Source organism: Homo sapiens, chromosome 9 (genome assembly GCF_000001405.40).
Source record: "Homo sapiens chromosome 9, GRCh38.p14 Primary Assembly".
NCBI lineage: Eukaryota > Metazoa > Chordata > Mammalia > Primates > Hominidae > Homo > Homo sapiens.
This window is the reverse complement of record NC_000009.12, coordinates 129,811,588-129,825,499: the sequence shown is the minus strand read 5'-3', so window position 1 is coordinate 129,825,499 and position 13,912 is coordinate 129,811,588. Positions and strand designations below refer to the sequence as shown.

The 13,912-nt window shown below is 51.5% G+C and overlaps 1 protein-coding gene across 1 annotated transcript, besides 4 other annotated features; it reads left to right on the top strand.

Moving 5' to 3' along the window:
* Nucleotides 1,170-1,479: an enhancer, noted in NCBI's record as "active region_29122". NCBI's record gives its function as "activates an Ori minimal core promoter by ATAC-STARR-seq in GM12878 lymphoblastoid cells {active_cell/tissue: GM12878}" and the evidence as "EXISTENCE:reporter gene assay evidence [ECO:0000049][PMID:35858748]".
* Nucleotides 1,364-12,558, top strand: TOR1A (torsin family 1 member A). Its single transcript, NM_000113.3, has 5 exons — nt 1,364-1,592; nt 2,654-2,919; nt 6,580-6,755; nt 6,853-6,980; nt 11,278-12,558. Exons 1-5 carry the CDS (start codon nt 1,415-1,417, stop codon nt 11,526-11,528), a joined length of 999 nt encoding a protein of 332 aa, NP_000104.1. The 5' UTR covers nt 1,364-1,414; the 3' UTR covers nt 11,529-12,558.
* Nucleotides 1,890-1,979: a silencer, noted in NCBI's record as "silent region_20390". NCBI's record gives its function as "represses an Ori minimal core promoter by ATAC-STARR-seq in GM12878 lymphoblastoid cells {active_cell/tissue: GM12878}" and the evidence as "EXISTENCE:reporter gene assay evidence [ECO:0000049][PMID:35858748]".
* Nucleotides 12,861-12,910: an enhancer, noted in NCBI's record as "active region_29121". NCBI's record gives its function as "activates an Ori minimal core promoter by ATAC-STARR-seq in GM12878 lymphoblastoid cells {active_cell/tissue: GM12878}" and the evidence as "EXISTENCE:reporter gene assay evidence [ECO:0000049][PMID:35858748]".
* Nucleotides 13,036-13,330: a silencer, noted in NCBI's record as "tiled region #13743; HepG2 Repressive non-DNase unmatched - State 14:Gen5'". NCBI's record gives its function as "represses a minimal TATA promoter and a strong SV40 promoter by Sharpr-MPRA in HepG2 cells {active_cell/tissue: HepG2}" and the evidence as "EXISTENCE:reporter gene assay evidence [ECO:0000049][PMID:27701403]".

Sequence of the window (13,912 nt, the reverse complement as noted above, 5' to 3'; positions counted from 1 at the left end):
TGTGGGCTGTGCATGGGGACGTCCTTCCAAAGAGTACAGTAGAGAAAAGAGGGGTGGGGGGACCTGACAAACACTACTTCAGTCAAGTGATCAAGTCAGCACCAACAGTGGTAAGTAACGTTGAACAGTAAGAACCCTTCCTTGGTAGGATGTGATGAGCATAGCACTTTACCTCTGTGATCTTCCTTCCAAAACGCCATAACGCTTGTCTAATCCTGAGAAAAACATCAAATCCCAATAGAGGGCCAGCCCACCAAAGATTTGGCCAGTACTCCTCAAAACTATCAAGGTCATCAAAAATAAAAAGCTGAGGCCAGGCGCGGTGGCTCACGCCTGTAATCCCAGCACTTTGGGAGGCTGAGACGGGCAGATCATGAGGTCAGATCAAGACCATCCTGGCCAACATGGTGAAACCCCGTCTCTACCAAAAATACAAAAATTAGCCGGGCATGGTGGTGTGTGCCTGTAATCCCAGCTGCTCAGGAGGCTGAGACAGGAGAATCGCTTGAACCTGGGAGGCAGAGGTTGCAGTGAGCTGAGATCATGCCACTGCACTCCAGCTAAAATAAAAATAAAAGGCTGAGACACTGTCATTAACAGTAGTCTAAGACATGACAACGAAATATAATGTGGTATCCTGAATGGAAACCTGCAGCAGAAAAAGGCATTAAGTAAAAGGAAGGAAATCTGAATAAACTACACTTTAGTTAATATGACAACAGTGCATCGTTAATTTTAACAAATGTAGCACACTAATAATGTAAGATTTTAGTAATAGGGGAAATTGCAGGGATGGGTGGCACATGGGAACTCTCTACTATCTTCTCAATTTTTCTGTAAATCTGTTCTAAAAAATAACGTCCGTTATTATTATTATTATTATTATTATTATTTGCGGGGAGGGGACACAGTCTTGCTCTGTCTCCCAGGCTGGAGTGCAGTGGTGAGATCTCGGCTCACTGCAATCTCCGCCTCCTGGGTTCAAGCGATTCTCATGTGTCAGCCTCCCCAGTAGCTAGGGCTACAGGTGCCTACCACCACACCCGGCTAATTTTATATTTTTAGTAGAGACGTGGTTTCACCATGTTGGTCAGGCTGGTCTCGAACTCCTGACCTCAGGTGATCCGCCCGCCTCAGCCTCCCAAAGGGCTGGGATTACAGGCAGGAGCCACCATGCCTGGCAAAAATAACGTCCATAAACAAAAACACGTGGCCAACAGGGGCGGAGCAGAACCGAGTTTCCGGAAGCAAAACAGGGCTTTGTACCGAACAAAGATGGCGGCCGCCGGCGTCGGGAGGAGGGCTGCCCTGAAGAAAGATGGCCTCCGCGAGAGGAGGAACCGGAAGCGTGGGTCTGGCGGCTGCACCGGTTCGCGGTCGGCGCGAGAACAAGCAGGGTGGCGCGGGTCCGGGCATGAAGCTGGGCCGGGCCGTGCTGGGCCTGCTGCTGCTGGCGCCGTCCGTGGTGCAGGCGGTGGAGCCCATCAGCCTGGGACTGGCCCTGGCCGGCGTCCTCACCGGCTACATCTACCCGCGTCTCTACTGCCTCTTCGCCGAGTGCTGCGGGCAGAAGCGGAGCCTTAGCCGGGAGGGTAGGCTGGGGCGGGGGCTGGAGGCTGGGGCTGGGGCTGGGGCTGGGCGATGGCACTAGGGCTGAACTAGGACCAGGGCATGGAGAATGGAGGATGGAGGCCGGGGGATGGCACCAGGGCCGGGCTAGGACTAGGGCTGGAGCGGGGCCTGGGGGCTGGGGCTGGGCGATGGCACTAGGGCCGGGTTGGGGCTGGGGCTGGGGCTGGGGGATGGAGCGGGGCCCGGGGGCTGGGGGTGGGGCTGGGGGATCGCACTAGGGCTGGGTTAAGACCAGGGCGGTTGGCTGGGGCTAGGGGATTGAGGATGGTGGATGGAGGCTGGGGGATGGCAGTAGGGCCGGGCTAGGACTGGGGCTGGAGCGGAGTTTGGGGGCTGGGGCTCAGGAGCGGGGGCTGGGGCTGGGGCTGGGGCTGGGGGATGGCACTAGGGCCAGGCCGGGGTAGGGGTCACATCCCAGGAGGGCCGGGCCTGGGCAGAGCTGAGTCCGCGGGGGCCGGACCCCGGAAGCCAAGCGGCCGGCCTGCAGGATGAGGCCTGGCTCCTCGGCCATGACCACAGACGTGCCAGACTTAAGTCGGAGACCTGAGGAGCCAGGCTGCAGGTTGGCCTACTTTGCGCTAAGCTGGGGGTGGACCAGTGGTAACCTCCCTCCGAAGTGGGTTCTGCCTCCTTTCTAGCCTAGCGGGAGACAGGAAGGATGGTGAGGACTCTTCCGCAGCCGACCAGGAGGGACCAAACTGTTTCCTTTCCCGGCTCTGCCTTGGGGTGGGAGGAGCAGCACAGGGGTTAGGGGTGCAAACTGGTGGCAGTGGCAGTGGCACCAAGGGGCTTTTCGGGAAGGAGTCGGGCCAGGGCTTTAGAATAGGCAGGACCAGCAAAGGGAGGGCTCCCTGGACCGCCGTCCCCTCTGGGCCAGGAGCTTACAGACCGCAGTACTTGAGGTTTCGCAAGGTGCTTGGAGGGCGTCTAGACGGCTTTGCTGGCTTTCTTATGGGCTGTAAATGTGGCTACATTTTGCCGCTGTTTCTTCCCCACTCCTGATTGGCTTTGTCTTTCCCAGCACTGCAGAAGGATCTGGACGACAACCTCTTTGGACAGCATCTTGCAAAGAAAATCATCTTAAATGCCGTGTTTGGTTTCATAAACAACCCAAAGCCCAAGAAACCTCTCACGCTCTCCCTGCACGGGTGGACAGGCACCGGCAAAAATTTCGTCAGCAAGATCATCGCAGAGAATATTTACGAGGGTGGTCTGAACAGTGACTATGTCCACCTGTTTGTGGCCACATTGCACTTTCCACATGCTTCAAACATCACCTTGTACAAGGCAAGGATGGAAGTTTGGAATCCCTTCCTGGATGTCATCGGGTTTGGGGTCTCTTTGTTGTGGGATGAGATTTGGGAGTTCTATGTTGAAATGAGTGAGCCCGGAAAACGGTTCATGTCTCAGTTCCCCTTGGAAAGGTGTAGAAGTTAAGAGTTTGAGATGCGTGGAGCAGTTAATACCATCAAAGCTTTGTGGTGGGTTCTGAAAATCGGTCCAGTGAGTATGTAGGGTCATGGGATTTTAGAGGTGGACATGATCAAATCCATCTTAGAGATCAACACATCTCACTCATTTTTTTATTTTTTTCTTTATTTTGAGACGGAGTTTCACTCTTCTTACCCGGGCTGGAGTGCAATGGCATGATCTCAGCTCACTGCAACCTCTGCCTCCCGGTTGAAGCAATTATCCTGCCTCAGCCTCCCGGGTAGCTGGGATTACAGGGTCCTGCCACCATGCCCAGCTAATTTTTGTATTTTTAGTAGAGATGGGGTTTTGCCAACTTGGCCAGGCTGGTCTCGAACTCCTGATCTCAGGTGATGTGCCTGCCTCAGCTTCCCGAAGTGCTGGGATTACAGGCGTGAGCCACCATGCCTGGCCACATCTCACTCATTTTGTGAAAGAGGAAACATGTAGAGTCCTAAGTTTGTTGAACCTACTGTTGTAAACTGCCTTTTTTTTTTTTTCTTTGAGTCAGGGTCTCACTCTGTTGTCCAGGCTGGAGTGCAGTGACGCCATCTCAGCTCACTACAGCCTCCACCTTCCCGGTTCAAGCGATTCTCCTGCCTCAGCCTCCCAAGTAGCTGTGACTACAGGCATGTGCCACCACAGCCGGCTAATTTTTGTATTTCTAGTAGAGATGGGGTTTCCTCACATTGGCCAGGCTGGTCTCGAACTCCTGACCTCAAGTGATCTGCCTACCTCAGCCTCCCAGAGTGCTAGGATTACAGGCGTGAGCCACCTTGCCCAGCCGCAAACAGCTTTTATGGTTGAACTCACTGATGAGCAGCTTGGGCTTTGGCAGCAGACACATCTGGATTTGAGTCCTAACACTCTCCCAGCTCCGTAGTCTTAGGAAAGTTGCCTGACCTGAGACTCAGATTCTGACTTACAAAGTGTTGCTTGTAACAATCCAGGGAGCTCTGTCTGTCAAGTGCATAACATGTACCTGGTGCATGTTACAAATAAATGTTAACTGTTGCCTTTTAGATCCTTGTAGCAGACCTGCAAGATGGGCAAAACAGTCAATTATTTATTTATTTATTTTTGAGACTGAGTTTCATTCTTGTCACCCAGGCTGGAGTGCAGTAGCACCATCTGGATCTTGATCTCGGCTCACCGCAAACTCTGCCTCCCGGATTCAAGTGATTCTGCTGCCTCAGCCTCCCAAGTAGCTGGTATTACAGGCACCTGCCACCACACCCAGCTAATTTTTGTATTTTTAATAGAGACAGGGTTTCACCTTGTTGGCCAGGCTGGTCTCAAACTCCTGACCTCAAGGTCATCCAGCTGTCTCTACTTCCCAAAGTGCTGAAATTACAGGTATGAGCCACCATGCCTGGCCTCAATCAGTTATTTATCCCTGACTGTATCTATGGAAAAATGTGAACACATTTTTCCCTTCTGTCTGGGTGAGCGTGTGGGTCACCCACTGTCCAGCGGTTCTGTACTAAAATGCGAATGTTCCACGGGTGTGGTGGCTCATGCCTATAATTCTAGCACTACGGGAAGCCAAAACCGGCTGATCCCTTGAGCTCAAGAGTTCCAGACCAGCCTGGGGAACATGGTGAAACCCCATCTCTACTAAAAAAATACAAAAAAATTAGTCAGGCATGGTGGCATGCACCTGTAGTCCCAGCTACTTAGGGGGCTGAGGCAGAAGGATGGCTTGAACCTGGGAGGTCGAGGCTGCAGTGAGCAGACAGCCACTGCAGTCCAGCCTGGGTGACGGAGTGAGACCCTGTCCCAAACAAACAAGAACCATTCTAGACGAATCAGGATAAGTTGATCATCTTAGAATTGAGGCTTCACTAACAATAACTGTGACTTTGGGCAAAGTTACTTCACTTGTCTGTGCCTCAGTTTTCTCATTTGTAAAAGAAGGAGCACAATGGTAACTACCGTGATGGGTTTTGGGAGGTCACAGTAAAATGTTCTATGAACAGACCAGGTGTGGTGGCTCGCGCCTGTAATCCCAGCACTTTGGGAGGCCGAAGCGGGTGGATCACAAGGTCAAGAGTTCAAGACCAGCCTGGCCAAGATGGTGAAACCCCATCTCTACTAAAAATACAAAAATTAGCTGGGCGTGGTGGCAGGTGCCTGTAGTCTCAGCTACTCAGGGGGCTGAGGCAAGGGAATCGCTTGAATCTGGGAGGCAGAGGTTGCAGTGAGCTGAGATCATGTCATTGCACTCCAGTCTGGGTAACAGAGCGAGACTGTCAAAAAAAAAAAGTTATATGAACAGTGCTTAGAATATTGTTGTTCCCATAGTGAACACTCAGTGCATGTTCCCTGTTATTGCATATAAGTTTGGTCACCAGAGTGAGAAACCTTGGCTGCTGGAGCCTAACAGGTCTGAGTGAATCCTTGTTTATTTTATTTATTTATTTTATTTTATTTTATTTATTTATTATTATTATTATTTTTTTTTTTTGAGACGGAGTCTTGCTCTGTCTCCCAGGCTGGAGTGCTGGAGTGCAGTGGGGTGATCTTAGCTCACTGCAACCTCCACCTCCCAGGTTCCAGCGATTCTCAAGCCTCAGCCTCCCAAGTACCTGGGATTACAGGCGCCTGCCACTATGCCTGGCTAATTTTTGTATTTTTTTTTTTAATGGAGTCTTGCTCTGTCGCCACGCTGGAGTGCAATGGCTTGATCTTGGCTCACCGCAACCTCCGCCTCCCAGGTTCATGCAATTCTACCTCAGCCTCCTGAGTAGCTGGGACTATAAGCACCTGCCACCATACCCAGCTAATTTTTTTGTATTTTTTTTAGTAGAGACCAGGTTTCACCATGTTGGCCAGGCTGGTCTTGAACTCCTGACCTCAGGTGATCCACCCACTTTGGCCTCCCAAAGTGCTGGGATTACAGGCATGAACCACCATGCCTGGCCCTAATTTTTGTATTTTAATAGAGATGGGGTTTCACCATGTTGGCCAGGCTGGTCTCAAACCCCTGACCTCAACTTATCCGTCTGCCTCAGCCTCCCAAAGTGCTGGGATTACAGGTGTGAGCCACCATGCCCGACCCCACCCCCTTTTTAAATAAAAATCAGTATCCTCATGACATCCCACATTGCCCCTTTGATGACAAAAGAGCAGCATCTCTGACAGCATCCGTGTGGCATCTCGCAGTGCGGGAACCGTAACCAAAGTATCGGGCTTTGGAGTGAGACAGGACTGGGTTCAGGTCCCAGCTCTGCCACATATAGTCTTGGGCAAGTGGAGTAAGCGCTCTCTGTGCCTCAGTTCCCTCATCTGTAAAATGAGAACGATAGTGCCCACTCCATGGGGTTGGTAGGAACAAAGAAGATTTTGGGCATGTAAAGTTCTTAGTGCCGAGTGCACAGTGGTCTGTAAGTGAAGCTGCGGTTCTTAGTGGTAGAAGGAGCTGATTGATGGCCCTGGCTGAGAACTTTGTGTTCGCTTTTTCCCCTTTTAATTCAGGATCAGTTACAGTTGTGGATTCGAGGCAACGTGAGTGCCTGTGCGAGGTCCATCTTCATATTTGATGAAATGGATAAGATGCATGCAGGCCTCATAGATGCCATCAAGCCTTTCCTCGACTATTATGACCTGGTGGATGGGGTCTCCTACCAGAAAGCCATGTTCATATTTCTCAGGTAAGGTCAGGGCTAGGACATGATGGATGGGCCCCGAGCCCAAGCCTCTGAGCTCCAGGAGAAAACCCTGTCCTTACCCACTGGGATTGTTTTGCAGCAATGCTGGAGCAGAAAGGATCACAGATGTGGCTTTGGATTTCTGGAGGAGTGGAAAGCAGAGGGAAGACATCAAGCTCAAAGACATTGAACACGCGTTGTCTGTGTCGGTTTTCAATAACAAGAACAGTGAGTAGGGCCATCCACCGCCAGTCCCATCTGGTTCCTAATCCTGCACCCTAAGTGTTAAAAGCATCAGGGTCACTGTCAGCATCACCTGGGAGCTGGGTAGAAAGAAATGCAGATTCTCAGTCCCCTTCCGAGTCATGAGGGGAATCTTTGCTGATGAACTCCAGGTAACTTTTATGAACACTAATGTTTGACAAGTGCTGTTTTATTTTTATTTTTCAGATAGTTTTACTCTGTCACCTAGGCTGGAGTGCAGTGGCGTAACCTTGCCTCACTGCAACCTCTGCCTCCCGGGCTCAAGCGATTCTTGTGCCTCAGCCTCCTGAGTAGCTGGGATTACAGGTGCACACCATGCCCAGCTAATATTTGTATTTTTAGTAGAGATGGGGTTTTGTCATGTTGGCCAGGCTGGTCTTGAACTCTTACCTCAGGTGATCCGCCCACCTCGGCCTCCCAAAGTGCTGGGATTACAGGCGTGAGCCACTGTGCTCAGCTTATTTTTTGAGACAGAGTCTCACTCTGTCACCCAGGCTGGAGTCCAGTGGTGTGATCTCAGCTCACTGGAGTCTTGACTTCCTAGGCTCAAGTGATCCTCCAGCCTCAGCTTCCCATGTAGGTGGAACCACAGGCTTGCGCCACCATGCCTGGCTAATTTTTTTTTTTTTTTTTTTTTTTTTTTTTGGTAGAGACTGGGTCTTCCTATGTTTCCCAGGCTGGTCTTGACTTCCTGGACTTAAGTCATCCTCCCGCCTCAGCCTCCCAAAGTGCTGGAATTATAGGCATGAGCTACATACCTGGCCTGCTGTTTTTTTTTTTTTTTTGAGATGGAGTCTCGCTCTGTTGCCCAGGCTGGAGTGCAGTGGCGCGATCTCGGCTCACTGCAAGCTCTGCCTCCCAGGTTCACACCATTCTCCTGCCTCAGCCTGCCGAGTAGCTGGGACTACAGGCACCTGCCACCACACTCGGCAAATTTTTTGTATTTTTAGTAGAAACGGGGTTTCACCATGTTAGCCAGGATGGTCTTATCTCCTGACCTCGTGATCCGCCTGCCTCGGCCTCCCAAAGTGCTGGGATTACAGGCGTGAGCCACCACGCCTGGCCAGTTCCCCCATTTTCTTCAGCTACATGATTTTCTTTGTAGAAGAAAGAGCCAGTGGTTGAGCAAGGAAGGATGCCGTGGGCAGCTCAGGGGGAGAGATGACCTGTTAGTTCCTCCCTTTCTCTGCATTGCCCAAGAGCAACAGCCAAATAGCGGTTCGGCCCTTATTTTGTACTGGGCACCGTGTGAAACAGCCTGCCTGCGGATTTCACTCAGTCTTCACCATACCTCGCAGGGTAGAGACTGAGACTCAGAGATGTGGCAGCTTGCCCAGGGCCATGCAGCCTGTTCGGTATCTCTGATTCTAAAACCTGAGCTTTTAAGTTTTAGCTCACTACTTCTCCAAATGTCATGAGACCTTTGACCTTGAACCTGGGGAGGTGGAAAGCCAGCCTGATGGAGGCTGACTCACTGGCTAAGACCTGTGAGTTGTGCAGGGCTGGCTGTTCAAGTCTTTGCGCTTCAGGTTCTGGAGATGACAAAACAGAAGGGCTCATTTGAAACAGACTTGCCAAGAAATTAATCCTACAGTTAGTGAACAGCATGGGGTACAGTATGTCAGTGTGTGCAAGTGGAATACTACTGAGGAAAGACAAGTATTTTGTAACATGTTGGATAGTTTCTTGCCTTGCCAAAAAACATGAGCACATGCAGTGGAAACTTTAGCCTAATGCTGAGGCAGATGAGCCCCGTGGCCTAGAATCCACGCTGTGGAGGTTACACGGTGCTTAGGAGTGCCAACCTGGGAGTCGGGCAGCCCTGGCCCACAGACTGACTGTGACCTCAGGCAGATGGCTGAACATTGATTCAGCACATGTATATGGAGCATCTGGTAAGTGCCAGGCATCATACCTAGGACGGGGGACACAGCAGTGAACAAACACAGAAATTCTTGCCCTTATCAATCCTACATCCTAGTGATAATAAAGAAAGAAAATGTATCAGATGATGGGGGATAGATATGTTGATGTGTGTGATGTGTTTGTGTGTATACATGCAGTACATATGCACACATCGCACATGTACACATGTGGACATATAGATATCTTTCCCCCCGGGGCCAGTAGGGGAAAAAAATCAAGAAAGGCTTTGGGGTTCAGGGTAAGGATGGGCTCTGCTTTAATAGAGTGGACAGGGAAGGCTCCCTGTGAGGGTGGCATTTGGGCTGACCCGGGGGAGTGAGCCATGTGGATGTCTGAGGGAAAAGCATTCCCCAGTGCGGACAGCACGTCCAGGGGCCCGAGGGGGGCCTGTGCTTGGGGTCCCTGTGACTGGTTGAGGATAAACAGAGGAGGGAAACGGGAGGTGATAGAAGAGGCGAGATTTGGGGTGGAGGTGCAGACCGTGGGAAGCCTGGCGGGCCATGGTGAACCTTGAGTCTTATTCCAAGTGGAAGAGAGAGGCCTGGAGGGTCCTGGGCAGGTGGTGCTGTGATCTGACGGGGCCTTCACAGGACCTTGCTGGCAACTGGATGGAGGACAGACCCACAGCCACAGGGGCAGGGAGCCCAGCGTGGAAGCGGTGGGGGTGGAGGGACACGGTTGGCTTCTGGGTGTGTTTTGAAGGTAGAACCTGTAAGACTTCCTGCAGAATTGTATATGGGAATGAGAGAAGAATCAAGGACCTGGCTTGAGCGATGGGAAGGGTGGCACTGCCATTGAAGGGAAGGGACAGCAGGAAGGACGGGCGAGCTCAGTGGGCAATGGCATCAGGGCATCAGAGCAGAGCCACGAAGCTCCAGGGAGGCCATCAGGCCAGGAGGGCAAACTTGGGAGTCCTCAGGAGATGACTGTGAAGTCTCAGGGCTGCCTGAGGTCACCTGTTCTGCCGTCACTCCTGGGTCTGCGTGGCTGGGTCCTTGTTGCTCGGGCTCTGCCCTGAGGTCCTGCCCAGCCTGCTCCACCTCCCGCTCTCCATGTCCGTTCTGCTGTGTGGCATTCGCCACTCCAAGCACCATCTGAGATTGTTTCCTGCCCTAGAGTGGTAAAGCCGTGAGGTCCGTCTGCCCTCAGCTGTGTCCCCAGGCCCAGGGCGTGCCTGGCACAGAGCAGGCCTCTGAGAACCAGCCTCCCACGTGAGTTCATGATAGCAAGACAGCCCCTCGTTCCCATTCAGTGGTTGGTTCTGTTCTTTCCCTGGCCATAGGCTCCACTCTGTCAGTCAGCCACACATTTATTGAGTACCAGTTGTGTGCAAAGCACTGTTGGGCATGAAAAGCATTAACCCAGTGAATGAGGAGGAGCTTGGGTTGGGGACGGAGCCCCAGAATTACATGGCAGACCAGAAGGGAATCAGCTCAGTAGAAGACACGCATGGGCTCGTGGGCGACGCAGTGTGTGCTGTGTCATCTGGGGCTGGGAGGAAGTGTCCTGGGTCAGGAGTTCCAGGAGCCCAGGAGGAGTGGACGGGTCAGTGCAGAGCCAGCCCGCATTCAGGGGAGAAAACACGGCCAAGGCCAGGCCTTCACGGGGAGCCCAGCGTGGGCTGCACATCTGCACTCTCCAGGCTAGTTTTGGTGCCCACATGCTCTGCAGGGTCTGGGCACTGTGGCAGCGGCAGCAGGCTTCCCTGTTGCTAGTCCAGCTGCTGAAACTCCAGGGAGAGTCAAAAAGTTCCCAAATACAGAGGCGTGGCTGGTAGTCCTTCCCGGGAATTCTTCTTGCTTCCCGCTTTCTGTGGAACTCTGCCTTCCCCACTCTGCCTCTCTGCTTGTTCCTGGGCCCCAGGACCTCTTTCCCATCTTCGATCTCTTAAGTCATACCTTGGGAGGCCTCCCCCAGCCCGCCGTGTAAAGAGGGCTGTCACAGCTTCTGCTGTCACAGAAGCATTACAATGTGCAGGTGCCTGTTAACATCTGCCTTCCCCACTGATCTGGAGCTCCACAAGGGAGAGGGCACACCCAGTAGGTATGTGTGGGATGGATAGGAGGGTGGATGACACCCAGTAGATGTGTATGGGATGGATAGGAGGGTGGATGACACCCAGTAGGTGTGTATGGGATGGATGGGAGGGTGGGTGACCCCTAGTAGATGTGGGGGGGGTGGGTGGGTGACCCCCAGTAGGTGTGTGTGGCATGGATAGGTGACCCCCAGTAGACGTTTGTGGGACGGATGGGAGGGTAGGTAAGTGACCCCCAGGAGGCGTCTATAGGGCAGGTGGGTGGATGTGGATGAACAGCACCTTGTTTCTTCTTCCCAGGTGGCTTCTGGCACAGCAGCTTAATTGACCGGAACCTCATTGATTATTTTGTTCCCTTCCTCCCCCTGGAATACAAACACCTAAAAATGTGTATCCGAGTGGAAATGCAGTCCCGAGGCTATGAAATTGATGAAGACATTGTAAGCAGAGTGGCTGAGGAGATGACATTTTTCCCCAAAGAGGAGAGAGTTTTCTCAGATAAAGGCTGCAAAACGGTGTTCACCAAGTTAGATTATTACTACGATGATTGACAGTCATGATTGGCAGCCGGAGTCACTGCCTGGAGTTGGAAAAGAAACAACACTCAGTCCTTCCACACTTCCACCCCCAGCTCCTTTCCCTGGAAGAGGAATCCAGTGAATGTTCCTGTTTGATGTGACAGGAATTCTCCCTGGCATTGTTTCCACCCCCTGGTGCCTGCAGGCCACCCAGGGACCACGGGCGAGGACGTGAAGCCTCCCGAACACGCACAGAAGGAAGGAGCCAGCTCCCAGCCCACTCATCGCAGGGCTCATGATTTTTTACAAATTATGTTTTAATTCCAAGTGTTTCTGTTTCAAGGAAGGATGAATAAGTTTTATTGAAAATGTGGTAACTTTATTTAAAATGATTTTTAACATTATGAGAGACTGCTCAGATTCTAAGTTGTTGGCCTTGTGTGTGTGTTTTTTTTTAAGTTCTCATCATTATTACATAGACTGTGATGTATCTTTACTGGAAATGAGCCCAAGCACACATGCATGGCATTTGTTCCACAGGAGGGCATCCCTGGGGATGTGGCTGGAGCATGAGCCAGCTCTGTCCCAGGATGGTCCCAGCGGATGCTGCCAGGGGCAGTGAAGTGTTTAGGTGAAGGACAAGTAGGTAAGAGGACGCCTTCAGGCACCACAGATAAGCCTGAAACAGCCTCTCCAAGGGTTTTCACCTTAGCAACAATGGGAGCTGTGGGAGTGATTTTGGCCACACTGTCAACATTTGTTAGAACCAGTCTTTTGAAAGAAAAGTATTTCCAACTTGTCACTTGCCAGTCACTCCGTTTTGCAAAAGGTGGCCCTTCACTGTCCATTCCAAATAGCCCACACGTGCTCTCTGCTGGATTCTAAATTATGTGAATTTTGCCATATTAAATCTTCCTCATTTATACTATTATTTGTTACGTTCAATCAGAATCCCCGAAACCTCCTATAAAGCTTAGCTGCCCCTTCTGAGGATGCTGAGAACGGTGTCTTTCTTTATAAATGCAAATGGCTACCGTTTTACAATAAAATTTTGCATGTGCCATTGGTGAGTACGTTTTTGAAGAGGGAGAAGCGCCCCTCCACTGTAGACCTTATGAGGTAAGGCTGCGAGTGAAGACCTAGCAGAACAATCCAGGTTGGAAAGAAACGAAGTCTCACACAGGGATCTGAGGATCCTAGGATGGCTCTGTCCCCTCGCCCAGTGGTCTGGGAAGTCGCCCTCCATTGTGGGGTTCTTGGAGCTCCTGACACCCAGCCACGGAGTTCAAGTACAGCTGAGATGCCAGCAGGAACAGTGCCGTAGACTAAGGTAAGCACACCTTATTTTATCCAACATGCCTGTGTCCCAGCACGTGGGCAGTGCTCCCATGGGTGCGGCTGCTGCAGAGAGCACTGCAGGGGCCACTTCTAGTAGGCACAGAAGACGAGTTTGTGGCCTCGACTGCAGGTCTAACGCAGGAACCCTCTGCCTTATGGCTTCCCAGCCTGCATGGGGTCCCCCTAGGGCAGCCCAGGGCACCTAAAGATGGCTCCAAGCGTTAGAAAGTTCTTGGTATTGAGCTGCAGCCAGCCTGCTATGTCCCTGGGAGTCACAGATTAGGTCTAATCATTCCTTTGAAGAGTGTGGCCCAGGCACCAGAAGTCCCTAGTTAGAGAACACGGGTCCCCTGACAGTTTTGGAAGGTTCAGTCTTAGTAGATGAGGCAGTGTAGGTAGAATAGGAACTGCGTTAAGACTGAGAACCAGACCTAGAAAGTCAGTCTCCTGGGAATTGAGTAACTTCAGCTGAGAAAATAAGGGAGTGGGTGGGGTGATGGTGATGAGGGTTTGTGCTTTCTAGTAAATCTGCTAATCCTTAATCCTGTGAAGAGGGTGGGTGTTAGCAATTCACTGATGAGACAATACTGGATTATGTGTAATTAAGCTGAGATCAGATTAGCATAACTAGAATTTTTTTTGAGACGGAGTTTCACTCTTACTGTCCAGGCTGGAGTGCAATGGCACGATCGCGGCTCACTATAACCTCTGCCTCCCAGGTTCAAGCGATTCTCCTGCCTCAGCCTCCCTAGTAGCTGGGATTACAGGCATGTGCCACCACACCCAGCTAATTTTGTATTTTTAGTAGAGATGGGGTTTCTCCATGTTGGTCAGGCTGGTCTCAAACTCCCCACCTCAGGTGACCCACCCACCTCGGCCTCCCAAAGTGCTGGAATTACAGGTGTGAGCCACCGCACCCGGCCAGGATTTATTTACCAGTTTCAATGGTTAGGTTTCCTCACCTGAGCTCAGGTTCAGGCTGTCAGAGGTGAGTTTTACTTTACCAGTACCTCAATTTCCTCCCACGTTAATTTTGGGAGAAAGTCCATCTCTTTGATGAAATATCCATCAGCTAATTT